The sequence below is a fragment of the Homo sapiens genome, chromosome 2, assembly GCF_000001405.40.
Source record: "Homo sapiens chromosome 2, GRCh38.p14 Primary Assembly".
Lineage (NCBI taxonomy): Eukaryota > Metazoa > Chordata > Mammalia > Primates > Hominidae > Homo > Homo sapiens.
This window is the reverse complement of record NC_000002.12, coordinates 203,004,519-203,018,075: the sequence shown is the minus strand read 5'-3', so window position 1 is coordinate 203,018,075 and position 13,557 is coordinate 203,004,519. Positions and strand designations below refer to the sequence as shown.

Sequence of the window (13,557 nt, the reverse complement as noted above, 5' to 3'; positions counted from 1 at the left end):
TGTTGTCTACCTTACAAAAAGCTTATCCGTTAACTGGTAAAATATAAAATCACGGTTTTAAATAAATATTCTTTGAAAACAAGTGAAAAAATTTTAAATCGTATTAAGCACACAAATTATTTAAATATTAAACCTAAAAATGAGATTTATATTCCTGTCCAAGAAGAGATAGGCTTCAAAATCTGACAGTGAGGGGCCTTCATTATTGAGGATTAACATTTCAAAGGAGAAGGGATGCATGTTTATATTAAAAGCCATTAAGAATAAAATTCAGTGTATGCCAATGAACTATACTATCTGTTTAATAAGCTTTAATATTAAATTTAATAGTAAATATACCTAAAAAGAATGTAACTTATTAATGAGACACGTAACCCCATTCACCAATATCATTTTGAAAACAGTAAAACCTAGTAAGTTTGATGTATTTTTAAATAAATCATTTTCAAACTACTAGGTATTCATACTAAAAATTAATTTTAATTTTTGGTTAACGTGTTAGTGACTATTTTCAAAAGTGGTGAATTGGATTCCTTTTTTATTGGAAGCGTCTATTTTTAAAAAGACATTTCTGGTATTAAATTATGCAAGACTAAAAGCTATTTTAAAAATTCATATTAAGCATTTCAAAGTGTATGTCCTTTAGCAATTATAATATATATCAAACCAGGAAGTCAAAGAAAATTCCAGTGTAATCTCTAAATTTAATATGACAGATAAATGAGACCACTGTTAAATAATAATCTGCCTTTTAAGGAGCATGAAAGGATAATGCAGAAACAGAAGCTGTGACTTGAGAATTTCACCACACATACTTAAATTAACTCAAATAGTACATTAGGGGTGTTTCTCTGACCCTTGCCAGTATCTTCAAAGTAATAATGTACCTCCTCACTTGAAAAACATGTTTTTAAGGAGTACTCTTCTCAATAACCTAAAATCAAAGCTATCAAGTAAAAATTCACATAAAGACAAGGAGGGGAAAGAACATTATTTCTGAGTGACAAAAATATTAAGGAGTAAAAATGGATAAAAGTACGCACTTGAGTCAGGTAGTACTGTGTTTCTCGGCTACTCAGTACTCCTGTAACCCTTGCATCAGTTTTCCCATCAGTAAAAGGGGATGATCACAATATTCACCTCACAGTATTGTAGTGAGAAGGAAATGAGACAATGCTCAAAGAGTGCTAACTTAGTGGCAGTCACACAGCACGCAGTTCAATCAATAACCTTGTGATGCAATTTCAAAGGTTCATTCCAAGAAAAATGCTTAATGCCCTTCTCATAAAAATGTCTCTATCCTACACTCACTTGTGGGAGAAAATGAAAAGCACAAACAAAAATAAAAATATTTTATTTTTCTCTTAAGGGCATAATTTTACTTATATAATTTTAGGATCATTTGGGGATAAGTATCAAATAAAAGCCGCACCCTACAGTTTTTAACAGTATGCCAATATTGTATGTGTGTTCAAACCTGAAAAAGAGGAAAACAGAAAATCCTTTAAACGCTTTTAAGTTTGGGGTTATTCATTATGACTAAATACACTATTATCTATTAAATAAAGTGTTACTACTGCCAGTCACAAATTTTATAATAAAGTATTTTAAAACATAAAAATAAAAAGGAAAGCAATTACCTTTGTACAATAAAGCATCCAAAGTTCAAAGAGCCTCTCTCTGGATGCCATTCTGGCTTTCACTCTGGCACTTTAAGTTTTCCTTAAAAAAATTATGTTCAAGACTACAGCATGTCCATTTTATTTTCCAAGTTTTTCAGCCGTTCAGTAAAGCTCATAGCAGTAAAGAAAGCAAAAAGAAGTGAAACAAATGGACTGTCCTCTGGTTAAAAACAAAAAGGCAATTTCAGCAGTCACTCCAATATATCTTCATCAGTGGTAGTTGGGCAATTAAATAAATCTGTGAAAGAGAAAAACATCCACAGGTTAGAAAAAGAGGCCATACTAAAAAATCTAGACTTATCAAAAACTAAAGATGTATCTTCTTCACTTCCCACAAACAACCCGCTATACTTTCACATGGACTGATTAGATTTCATAGAAACTTGTGTTTCAGGAAAACATCACAGCTAACACAGTATGTCCACCATAGAATCCTCTAGGGCAGACAGACTCCTAGAGATGGGTACATGTTCATAACCAAGAATGCGTCCAGTGAGAATAAGGAGCAAGACTCCCTTCCCACTCATACCTTTTGTACAGATACAAGGAAAAGGCCCACATCTCAGACATTTCAAATACATCAAAGCTCTTAGAATGTTCTTGTTCTGGTCTCCTCTTCAAAGTTGTTGGGGCCAGGCGCGGTGGCTCACGCCTGTAATCCCAGCACTTTGGGAGGCCCAAGTGCGTGAATCACCTGAGGTCAGGAGTTCGAGACCAGCCTGGCCAACACAGTGAACCCCTGTCTCTACTAAAGAAATACAAAAAATTAGCCGGGCGTGGTGGCGGGCACCTGTAATCCCAGCTACTCAGGAGGCTGAGGCAGGAGAATTGCTTGAACCCGGGAGGCAGAGGCTGCAGTGAGCCCAGATCACGCCACTGCACTCCAGTCTGGGCGACAGAGCAAGACTCCGTCTGGGGTGGGGTGGGGGTGGAGTAGTTGGGACTGTTTGCTGTGTTGCAGGGCAGGGCGTGGGGGCGGGGGAGGAATTCCCAGTTCGTTTGTTCTAACAATCCTCGGAGAGTGGAAGTCCACCCGCCCACCTGGCCTCTCCACCTTTCCATCCAAGAGAAGTGGGCACGCACACACCGGCGAGGAACTTCCCAAAGAAGCATCCAAGTGTTTGGGGGAATCTTTTAATTTCCTCCTCACATCCCAAGACAACCCAAACAGAGGCAAACTTAAGGTGTGCCGAGCTGCCAAGAGAAGCTCTAGAACTGAGGAATGCGGACTCGGCGTCTCCCGACCGCGATCCCAGCCTGCACTACAGTATCGGAACACTCCCTGACAGCCTAGCCCACTCAAAGCCGCCCCTCACTCTGCAGCCCCTCCACCACCAAGCACCGGGGCCCTCCCATTTCTTGCCATGCCGCCCCCTCTTCCCAACGGCCCGCTCCCCATCACCGGGCTCACATTGTGTGCCGCGCGGCAGCCGCCGCCCGGCAGCCGTCTAACTGCTTCCCTCGACCCCTTCCCAAGGCGAAGCCCCGTGTCACCCCGCAGCCAGGCAGACGAGCGGGCGGGACATGGGGGCGGGGCGAGAGGCCGGGAGGAGCAGGGGGCGGGGCTGCCCCCTGGGCTAATCATTTCGGCCGCTGAGGATTTACCCAGCCGTTGGGCGGCAGCTGTTCAATGGTCGCGTAGGCTGGGGATGGGCGGGGTGACCTGAAGCCCCGCCCCAGCATACCTGCGCAGCCGCAGTCGACAGGCTCTGGCTGCCCATCCCTTGGCGGGCGCCGGCCGCGGCACTGAAACGAGCCTTCCCTCAGCTGGACATGGAGGAGGGCTGACGTGCTGACGTCTACGCCCGCCCCGCTTTTCGCTGATGGCGTCATTTCCGTGAGTCATCTGAGGGCGTGAGACCCTACGGTGTTAAAGGGGATTTTGTTTCACTTATTTGTAGAACCGGGATTGGTTCTGGGAATTTAGAGTAATGTAAAAAGACAAAACACACACAGACACCCCCCAAAAACTCCTCTTTTCCTTTTGTGCCTGCTTTCGTCGTCACCGAGTGTCATATCCAAAGGGCTTATTTTACCACCACTAAAGACTTCGAAAGGGTTTTTCTTTTTCAGAAAAGAAGCAAAAGGCTTTACTAACTATAGACAACTTTCAGAGAGATTTGGTTTTTGTATAAGGAAAGAAAAACGCGTAAGATAACTCACCTTTGTTAAACATTTCCACAACTTTTTATTGTGAAAGATTTCAAGTATATTCTAAAGTAAACTAGTATAACGAAACCCTGTATACCGTCACCCAACTTCAAAAATGATCAACTAATGTCCCATCTTGTTTCATTTGTAACAAGGATCCACAAATTGCCTGTGAAGAGCCAGAGACGAGGCGCAGTGGCTATCGCCTGTAATTCCAGAATTTTGGGAGGTCTAGGCGGGCGAATCCCTTGAACCCAGGAGATCAGCCTGGGCAACAGAATGAGACCCTGTCTCTGCAAAAGAAATTTTAATTAGCTTGGCGTGGTGGTGCACGCCTGTAGTTCCAGCTACTTAGAAGCTAAGGTGGGAGAATCGCTTGAACCTGGGAGTGAAGGTTGCAGTGAGCTCCGATGGCGCCACTGTACTCCAGCCTGGGCGACAGAGCGAGACACTGTCTCAAAAAATAAAAATAAAATAAAAAGAGCCAGACAATAAATGTTATAGGCTTTGCAGTCCATTCTGGTTGCAACTTGCTTAACGAAAATCAAAAGAACAATATTTTGAGATGTGAAAATTAGACGAAATTCAAATTCAAGTTTCAGTGTCCTAAAATTTTAGTGGAACACAACCATGCCCATTCCTTTAGTATTGCCTATAGCTGCTTTCACTCTACCATGGCAGAATTGAGAGTAGTTGCTTGCAAATTACACCTTCAATTTTTTATCCTGAAATTACATTTTACATTCAGCATTTCTCCTTGGTTGTCCATTAGGCATGTGAAATTTATATGTCAAAATTTTGGGGGGAAAATATGCTTTTCCTTTGGGATACCCTATTTTAGTACTTAGCAACTCTATTCTTGTACTTGCTCAGTACAAGAACCTAGGAAGTGTGCTTGCTGTCTTCCTCATGTACTTCACTTCCAATCTAATCTTTTCAGCTATATCTCCAAAATATACCTAACCATCTCTCCACACTTTCTTCCTTAAATGGATGGTGGTATAGTAGTAGTAACCACTATCTTTATTTCTTTTCCCTTTTTTTTTTTTAAATTAGAGGCAGGGGCTTCGTATGTCGCCCAGGCTGGTCTCGAACTCCTTGGCTCAAGGGAGCCTCCTGCCTCGGCCTTCTGAAGTGCTGGGACTCCAGGCGTCAGCCATTGCACCTAGCCGTGGCTACTGTCTTTAAAATGGTTTAAGTTATACAAAATACTTTCTAGTTTATTGTAATAGCCTTCCAACTTGTTTCCCTGACTCTGCCCGTGACTCTACCCCAAATCCGTGGATTATTCTCAACATAGCAAACACAGAGATCTTTTAACATGGAAGTAAGATGTCACTTCTCTGCTAAAAAGCCTCCAATGGCTTCCCATTCCACTTTAAAAGGCCTGCAAGGACCTACTTCATTTTCCTCCAACATTTTCCTCTCTGACTTCTCTAACTATTCTGGCCTTTCTTACCTTACTTGAGACATGACTTCTTTGCTGCTTTTCAAAGGCACAAAGCACACTCCAGCCTCAGGGATTTTCACATGCTAACCCTTCTACCTGGACATCTCTTTCCCCAGATGTCTGCACAAAATCTTTTTCTTTTTTTTTTTTGTTTTGAGACAGAGTCTCACTCTGTCACCTAGGCTGGAGTGCAGTGGTGTGATCTCGGCTCACTGCAACCTCCACCTCCCAGGTTCAAGCAATTCTCCTGCTTCAGCCTCCTGAGTAGCTGGGATTACAGGCGCCCACCACCACGCCTGGCTAATTTTTGTATTTTTAGTAGAGATGGGGTTTCACCATGTTGGCCAGGCTGGTCTCAAACTCCTGACCTCAGGTGATCTACCAGCCTTGGCCTCCCAAAGTGCTGGGATTACAGGTGTGAGCCACTGTGCCCGGGCTGCACAAAATCTTTAAGAACCACCTTATCCAGGCTGGGTGTAGTGGCACACACCTGTAATCCCAGCACTTCGGGAGGTTAAGGCAGGATTGCTTGAGGCCGGGAGTTCGAAACCAGACTGAGCACCACAGTGAGACCCCCACCTCTATAAAAAAATTAAGAAAAAAATTAGCCCAGTGTGGTGGTACTTGCCTGCAGCCCTACCTACTTGGGAGGCTGAGGCATGAGGATCACTTGAGATTAGTTCAAGGCTGCAGTGAGCTATGATCATGTCACTGCACTGCAGCTCGGGCAAAAGAGCAAGACCCTGTCTCTAAAAAAGTGAAATAAAATGAAAAGAATCACTGTATCCGTGAAGCATTCCTTGACCCTTCTTGCCAAAATAGCAACGTCTCTTCCTTCTCTTTCACTGTAGCACGTATCAGCTGATATTAATATATCATTTGTTTGTCCAGTGTGTGTTCCCCCTAATAAAATGTAAGCACCATGAAAACAGGGACTTGTTCACTGCTATATCTTCAGGTTCTTGAACAGTTCTGGAACACACAGTAGGAATTCAATAAATATTTCCAGACTAATATGAATGAAAGAAATTAGCTTTTTCACCATATGCCTCTATATCCTGAATCCATCCAGTTTTTCTATAAACTGTTAATTTACAGCATGTTGGACTCTTCAAAAGACTAGCACTATAAAACATAATTTGTAAACTAGAGCAAAAAGTAATAAATGTGTTGTCTATAAACAAAAGTTGATAATATGGTACAACTTGCTTCTCAAACTTTCACGTGCATACTGATAACCTGAGGATCTTGTTAAAATGCTGATTTTGATTTCGTAGGGCTGGGATTCAGTGGGTCAGCAGTCTATTAAGCTCCCAACCGATGCTAGTGCTGCTAATTCACAACCACACTTTGAAAGTTTCCTACAGTTAATACAGAATGCATTTGGTTGGTTTTGGAGGCAGTACTGATAGATTTGCATGGATTCATCCATCTATTCTTATTTTCTTCCCCTTGGGTCTGACTGGTGACACAGATTTGTAGAGGTATAATCTGTGGCTGTGACACAAAACCAAACCAATTGCTGCATATAGGCATTGAATCTCCAAGCATGACATTATTGCAGTTACAGCTAGAAAGACAGAAATACATTGTCTAAGATGCCACATGACAGTCCCTACTGGGACTCAAATGATAGCAGTATTTTGCTTTGGTGTCTATCATAGAGGCAGTCCTCAGCTTTGCCAGCAAATAGGAAGATTCCAGAGGACTGACCCTTAATAAACACACAAAGAACTAAAACATGTAACCTGTGTGTCCCTTCTTTCTGTCTCCTAGGAGATCTCAAGCTATGCATTGACAAGGAGAAACTCAGAAAACTTACCCGTATTGTCTCTAGGAGTCTACTAGTTGATTCTCTTTTCCGTATGATAATTCAACTAAGGCTGGTGCCCATCAAACTTCTGTGAACCAGGATTACCCCAGTTTAATATCTTCTTTCCCTTTTCCCTTAGACAAAATACCCAATGGATATTAGTAGAGAATTAAGTAGTTATTTTTCTGAAGGGTGCAAATGTTCCCTAAAGCTACAGAGAGTAAGGGGAGATGAGGAGTTATGCCTTTGTTTAGATAATTCTTTCCTTTGTACCACATACAAGGCAATAATTACAACACCACACTGCATGGGTTTAATAAGATGTCCCTCCTGGATAATCCCTAGTTTCTTGGTTCTCAGTTCGCCTGTGTCTCTTCCCCATAGTCCTGTCTTTAAACCATTCCCCTCTATAATGTCCGCATTATACTCACAGAATAAGAAAGGGTGGATCCCAGCCCCTTCTTAAGCCTGGCAAATTCTGCCGCATTTAGGTAACATCTAGGTGTCAGCTAGATGCCAACATTATTCCTCTGTTGAGGCTTCTGATGGCTCCCAGGAGTGGGGATAAGCTTTGGTTTCATGAGTGAGCCCCTCAACAACATTGAGATGTTTCTCTACCAATGAAACTACAGCTACTTTTTCTCCCAGTGTACCTTAAGATAAACACATTTACCGCCTTCAGAACATTTTCTTTCATAAGACTATATGACCCAGCAGCTTCTAAAATAGCCTGTCCTTTTATGTTAAAAGTATATATGTGGCCTGATTTTCATGAAAAAGGCCTCCACATTAATTTAAATGGTCTTGCACTCAGCGTCTCAGTTTATGTCAGAGCTATGAGTTTCAGTTCATCTCACCAGATATAACCTTAGAATGCCACTAAATTTATTAACAATGAAAAAATATACCTGCCAGCCGGGCATGGTGGCTTATGCCTGTAATCCCAGTACTTTGGGAGGCCGAGGCAGGTGGATCACTTGAGGACAGGGGTTCAAGACCAGCCTGGTCAACACGGTGAAACTCCATCTCTACTAAAAATACAAAAATTAGCCAGGCATGGTGGTGCACGCCTGTAAAATCCAGCTACTTGGGAGGCTGAAGCACGAGAATCTCTTGAACCCAGGAGGCAGAGGTTGCAGTGAGCCAAGAACTTGCCGCTACACTCCAGCCTGGTGACAGAGCAAGACTCTGTCTAAAAAAAAAAAAAAACAAAAAAAACAAAAAACCCTGGCAAGGCAATTGGACTATTCATATCTCTTGGTCAGGGCATTATCTCCCCATAGAAAAAAATGTATAGGGAAGTAAATTATATTCTCAGGGTTGCTTTTTCATCATGAGTCATAACAAGTACAACTAATTGGATTAATGTGATGGTAGTATCATCTTTTATAATAGCTTTCATGCAGCCATTTCCACTATGTGCAACCTGCCAATCGGAGCAGATACTTGGTTCTGCTAGATAGAGCAGTTTCCCTTGGGCAGATCTGGAGACATATGGTCAAGTTTTTGTTCTTTGACATTCCTTTCCTAAATCCCATCGAAGCTCTTTCTCTTCTATCCACACTTTCACACTTTTTTAGCTAGCCTGTCTATATGCATTCAGATTTTCTGATCTTTTCTAAAAAACACCTTTGGTTTTGCTGATTACCTTTATTAATTTCTTTTTTCAATTTCATTTATTTCTGCTCTAATTTTTGTTATTTCTTTTCTTCTGCTTACTTTGGATTTAATTTGCTCTTCTTTTTCTAGTTTCCTACAGTAGAAGCTTACTGACTTTAGATCTTTTTTTTTCTAATATTCAATGCTACAAAATTCCCTCTTGTTTTGGCTACATTCCTCAAATTTTCATCAGTTGTATTTTCATTTTCATTTATTTTAAAATATATTAAAATATCTCTTGAGTATCGGGGAACCTGCCCCCAATAGTCACATAGGTTCTTTTCTGTTTTCCCTAAGCGTCGGCCAGGTTGAGAAATAAAGGGACAGAGTACAAAAGAGGGAAATTTTAAAGCCGGGCATCCGGGGGAGACATCACATGTCGGTAGGTTCTGTGATGCCCCTGAGCCGTAAAACCAGCAAGTTTTTATTAGGGATTTTCAAAAGGGGAGGGAGTGTACGAATAGGGTGTGGGTCACAGAGATCACATACTTCACAAGGTAATAGAGTATCACAAGGCAAATGGAGGCAGGGCGAGATCACAGGACCATAGGACTGGGGCGAAATTAAAATTGCTAATGAAGTTTCGGGCACCATTGTCATTGATAACATCTTATCAGGAGACAGGGTTTGAGAGCAACCGGTCTGACCAAAATTTATTAGGCGGGAATTTCCTCGTCCTAATAAGCCTGGGAGCACTATGGGAGACTGGGGCTTATTTCATCCCTACAGTCTTGAACATAGAAAACGGCCACACCGAAGGGGGCCATTTTAGAGGCCCACCCTCAGGGGCGCATTCTCCTTCTCAGGGATGTTCCTTGCTGAGAAAAAGAATTCAGTGATATTTCTCCCATTTGCTTTTGAAAGAAGAGAAATATGGCTCTGTTCCGCCCGGCTCACTGGCAGTCAGAGTTTAAGGTTATCTCTCTTGTTCCCTGAACATTGCTGTCATCCTGTTCTTTTTTCAAGGTGCCCAGATTTCATATTGTTCAAACACACATGCTCTACAATTTGTGCAATTACTGCAATCATCACAGGGTCCTGAGGTGACGTACATCCTCCTCAGTTTACGAGATGACAGGATTAAGAGATTAAAGTAAAGACAGGCATAGGAAATCACAAGGTTATTGATTGGGGAAGTGATGTGTCCATGAAATCCTCACAATTTATGTTTAGAGATTGCAGTAAAGACAGGCATAAAAAATTATAAAAGTATTAATTTGGGGAACTAATAAATGTCCATGAAATCTTCACAATCCACATTCTTCTGCCATGGCTTCAGCCGGTCCCTCCGTTCGGGGTCCCTGACTTCCCACAACACTTGAGGTTTCTTATTTGACCCATGTATTATTTAAAAGTATGTTGTGTCAGCTGGGTGCAGTGGCTCACACCTGTAATCCCAGCACTTTGGGAGGCTGAGGGGGGTGGATCACTTGAGGTCAGGAGTTTCAAACCAGCCTGGCAAATATGGTGAAACCCTATCTCTACTAAAAAATACAAAAATTAGCCAGGTGTGGTAGCACACGCCTGTAGTCCCAGCTATTCGGGAGGCTGAGGCACAAGAATCTCTTAAACTCAGGAGGCGGAGGTTGCAGTGAGCTGAGATCACCCTATTGCACTCCAGCCTGGGGGACAGAGCAAGACTCCGTCTCAAAAACAAACAAAAAAAGGCTGGGCATGGTGGCTCATGCCTATCATTCCAGCACTTTGGGAAGCCGTGGCGGGCAGATCACGAGGTCAAGAGTTCGAGACCAGTCTGGCCAACATAGTGAAACCCCGTCTCTACTAAAAATACAAAAAGCCAGTGTGGTGGTGTGCGCCTGTAATCCCAGCTACTTGGGAGGCTGAGGCAGGAGACTCTCATGAACCCGGGAGGCGGAGGTTGCAGTGAGCCGAATTCGCACCACTGTACTTTGGCCCAGGTGATAGTGAGAGACTCCATTTCAAAAAAAAAAAAAAAAGTGTTTTGTAATCTCCCAAGTATTTTGGGATTTTCCAGTTATCTTTCTGTTATGGATTTTTAGCTTAATTCTATTGAAGTCTGAGAGCAGACATTATATGACATATATTCTTCTAAATTTGTTAAGATATGTATTATGGGCCAGGCGCAGGCTCACACCTGTAATCCCAACATTTTGGGAGGCCGAGGCAGATGGATCCCCTGAGGTCAGGAGTTCGAGACCAGCCTGGCCAACATGGTGAAACCCCATGTGTACTAAAAATACAAAAAATTAGCTGGGCATGGTGGCAGGTGCCTGTAATCCCAGCTACTCGGGAGGCTGAGGCAGGAGGATCGCTTAAACCCAGGAGGTGAAGGTTGCCATCAGCTGAGGTCACATGCCATTGCACTCCAGCCTGGGCAAGAAGAACGAAACTCTTGTCTCAAAAAAAAAGAAAAAAAAAGATGTGTATTATGGCCCACAATGTGGTCTAGCTTGGTGAATAGCCCTTGTGAGCTTAAGAATGTGTATTCTGCTGTTGTTGGATAAGTAGTCGACAGATGTCGATGTTACTGTTCAATTCAACTATGTCCTTATGTCTGCTTGATGGATCTGTCCGTTTATATAATAGAGGGGTACTTAAGTCTCCAACTATAATAGTGGATTCATCCATTTCTCCTTGGAGTTCTATCAGTTTTTGCCTCACATATTTTGATATCTGTTGTTAGGGAAATATGTGTTAAGGATTGTTATGTCTTCTTGGAGAAATGACCCCTTTATCATTATGTAATGGTCCTCTTTATCACTGATAACTTTCCTTGTTCTGAAGTCTGCTCTGTCTGAAATTAATATGTTTACTTCCTCTTTCTTTTGATTAGTATTAACGTGGTATGTTTTTCTTTACCCATTTACTTTTAATCTATATGTGTTTTTATATTTAAAGTGGGTTTCTTGTAGATAATATATAATTGGGTCTTGTTTTTTGATCCATTATGTCTTTTAAATGACATATTTAGACCATTAACATATAAAGTGATTATTGACATAGTTGGATTGATGTATACCATATTCATTACTGTTTCCTATACATTGTACTTATTCTTTGTTCCTATTTTTGTCTTTCACTCTTTTTCTGCCTTTTACATATATATATATTTTTTTTTTAAATTTTTTTTTTTGAGACAGGGTCTTTGTTGCATAGGCTGGAATGCAGTGGCATGATCATGGCTCACTGCAATCTCAAACTCCTTGGCTCGAGTGATCTGCCCACCTCCACCTCCCAGGTATTTGGCACTGCAGGCACACTCCACCATGCCCAGTTAACTTTTGTATTTTTTGTAGAGACAGGGTCTTGCTATGTTGCTCAGGCTGGTCTTGAACTCCTGGATTCAAATGACCCTCCCACCTTGGCCTCCCAAAGTGGTGGGATTATAGGCATGAGCCATGGCACTCGGCCAGTGCCTTTTAAAATCTTAATTATTTAATATGATTCCATTTCCTCTACTTTTGTAGCATATCAGTTTTACCTTTTTTTTTTTTTTTGAGACGGAGTTTTGCTCTTGTCACCCAGGCTGGAGTGTGGTGGCGCGATCTCGGCTCACTGCAACCTCTGCCTCCCAGGTTCAAACAATTCTGCTTCAGCCTCCCAAGTAGCTGGGATTACAGGCGCCCACCACAATGCCCAGCTAATTTTTGTATTTTTAGTAGAGATGGGGTTTCCCCATGTTGGCCAGGCTGGTCTCGAACTCCTGACCTTAGGTGATCCACCCACCTTGGCCTCCCAAAGTGCTGGGATTACAGGTGTGAGCCACTGTGCCCGGCCCAGTTTTACTCTTTTTTTTTTTTCCTACCTTATTTAGTGGTTGTCCTAGAGTTTGCAGTATACATTTACAACTACTCCAAGTTCACTTTCCAATAGCACTATACCAATTCACAGATATTGCAAGAACCTTATCACAAAACATTCCTAATCATTCCTAATTCCTCTCTCCTGTTCCTTATGTCATTTCTGCCATTCACTTACACCTAAGCAATTGTGTGTATACACACACACACAATTACATTGTTGCCTAGTATTATTTTGAACAAACTGTTGTCTGTTAGATTAACTGAGAATAAGAAAAATAAGAGTTTATATTTTATATTCACTTATTATTTCTCTGATGCTCTTCATTTATTTATGCAGAGAGTTTCTGACCTATGTGTCATTTTCCTTCTTTCTCAAGAAGTTCTTTTAATTATTTCTTATAAGGAAGGTCTGTTGGCAACAAATTCCCTCAAATATTGTTCTGTTCATCTGAGAAAGTCTTTGTGTTTCACTTTTATATGATAATCTTATGGGATACAGAATTCTAGGCTGGTGTTTTTTTTTTTTCTCTCAATATGTTAAATGTTTTACTCCACTGTCTTCTTGATTGCATGATTTCTGATGAGAAGTTGGATATAATCCTTATCTTGCTCCTGCATAGAAAGCTGTTTGTTTTCCTCTGGCTTCCTTCAGGATTTTCTCTTTATCTTTGATTTTCTGTAATTTGAAAATGATAGCCTAGGTGTAGTTTTTTTAAACCACTTATCCTGCTTGGTGTTCTCTGTGCTTTCTGGATCTCTGGTTTGGTGTCTATTGCCAATTTGGGAAGATTCTCTGTCACTGTTGCTTGAAATATGCTTCGCTTCCTTTTTTTTCCTTCTGGTATTCCTATCACACACATTTATACCTTTTGTAGTTATTCCACAGTTCTTGGATGTTCTGAATCATTTTATTCTGTCTTTTTTCTCTTTGCTTTTCCATTTTGGAGGTTTCTATTGACATATTCTCAAACTCAGAAATGTTCTCTTAGCCATGTCCAGTTTACTAATGAGCTCATC

General features: G+C 41.5%; 1 protein-coding gene across 8 annotated transcripts in view, besides 2 other annotated features; it reads right to left on the bottom strand.

The window, feature by feature from the left end:
- Positions 1–3,468, bottom strand: part of NBEAL1 (neurobeachin like 1) — a 210,587-nt gene extending 207,119 nt beyond the window's left edge. For 5 of the 8 annotated variants that reach the window (NM_001378026.1, NM_001114132.2, XM_006712698.5 and 2 more), the window contains exons 1-2: positions 3,094–3,201; positions 1,641–1,920 (exon numbers count right to left, since the gene is read on the bottom strand). In NM_001378026.1, the coding sequence (NP_001364955.1) occupies positions 1,641–1,691 (51 nt within the window). In that variant the 5' untranslated portion in view covers positions 1,692–1,920; positions 3,094–3,201. Of the gene's footprint in view, positions 1–1,640; positions 1,921–2,211; positions 2,359–3,093; positions 3,202–3,367 lie in introns of those variants that run through there. The other 3 variants (XM_011511658.4, XM_047445554.1, XM_011511659.3) reach the window with 2 other exon arrangements.
- Positions 2,968–3,521: an enhancer, noted in NCBI's record as "H3K27ac hESC enhancer chr2:203879278-203879831 (GRCh37/hg19 assembly coordinates)". NCBI's record gives its function as "activates a minimal SCP1, AML or CMV promoter by ChIP-STARR-seq in naive H9 embryonic stem cells {active_cell/tissue: H9 hESC(naive)}" and the evidence as "EXISTENCE:reporter gene assay evidence [ECO:0000049][PMID:30033119]".
- Positions 3,100–3,329: a silencer, noted in NCBI's record as "silent region_12252". NCBI's record gives its function as "represses an Ori minimal core promoter by ATAC-STARR-seq in GM12878 lymphoblastoid cells {active_cell/tissue: GM12878}" and the evidence as "EXISTENCE:reporter gene assay evidence [ECO:0000049][PMID:35858748]".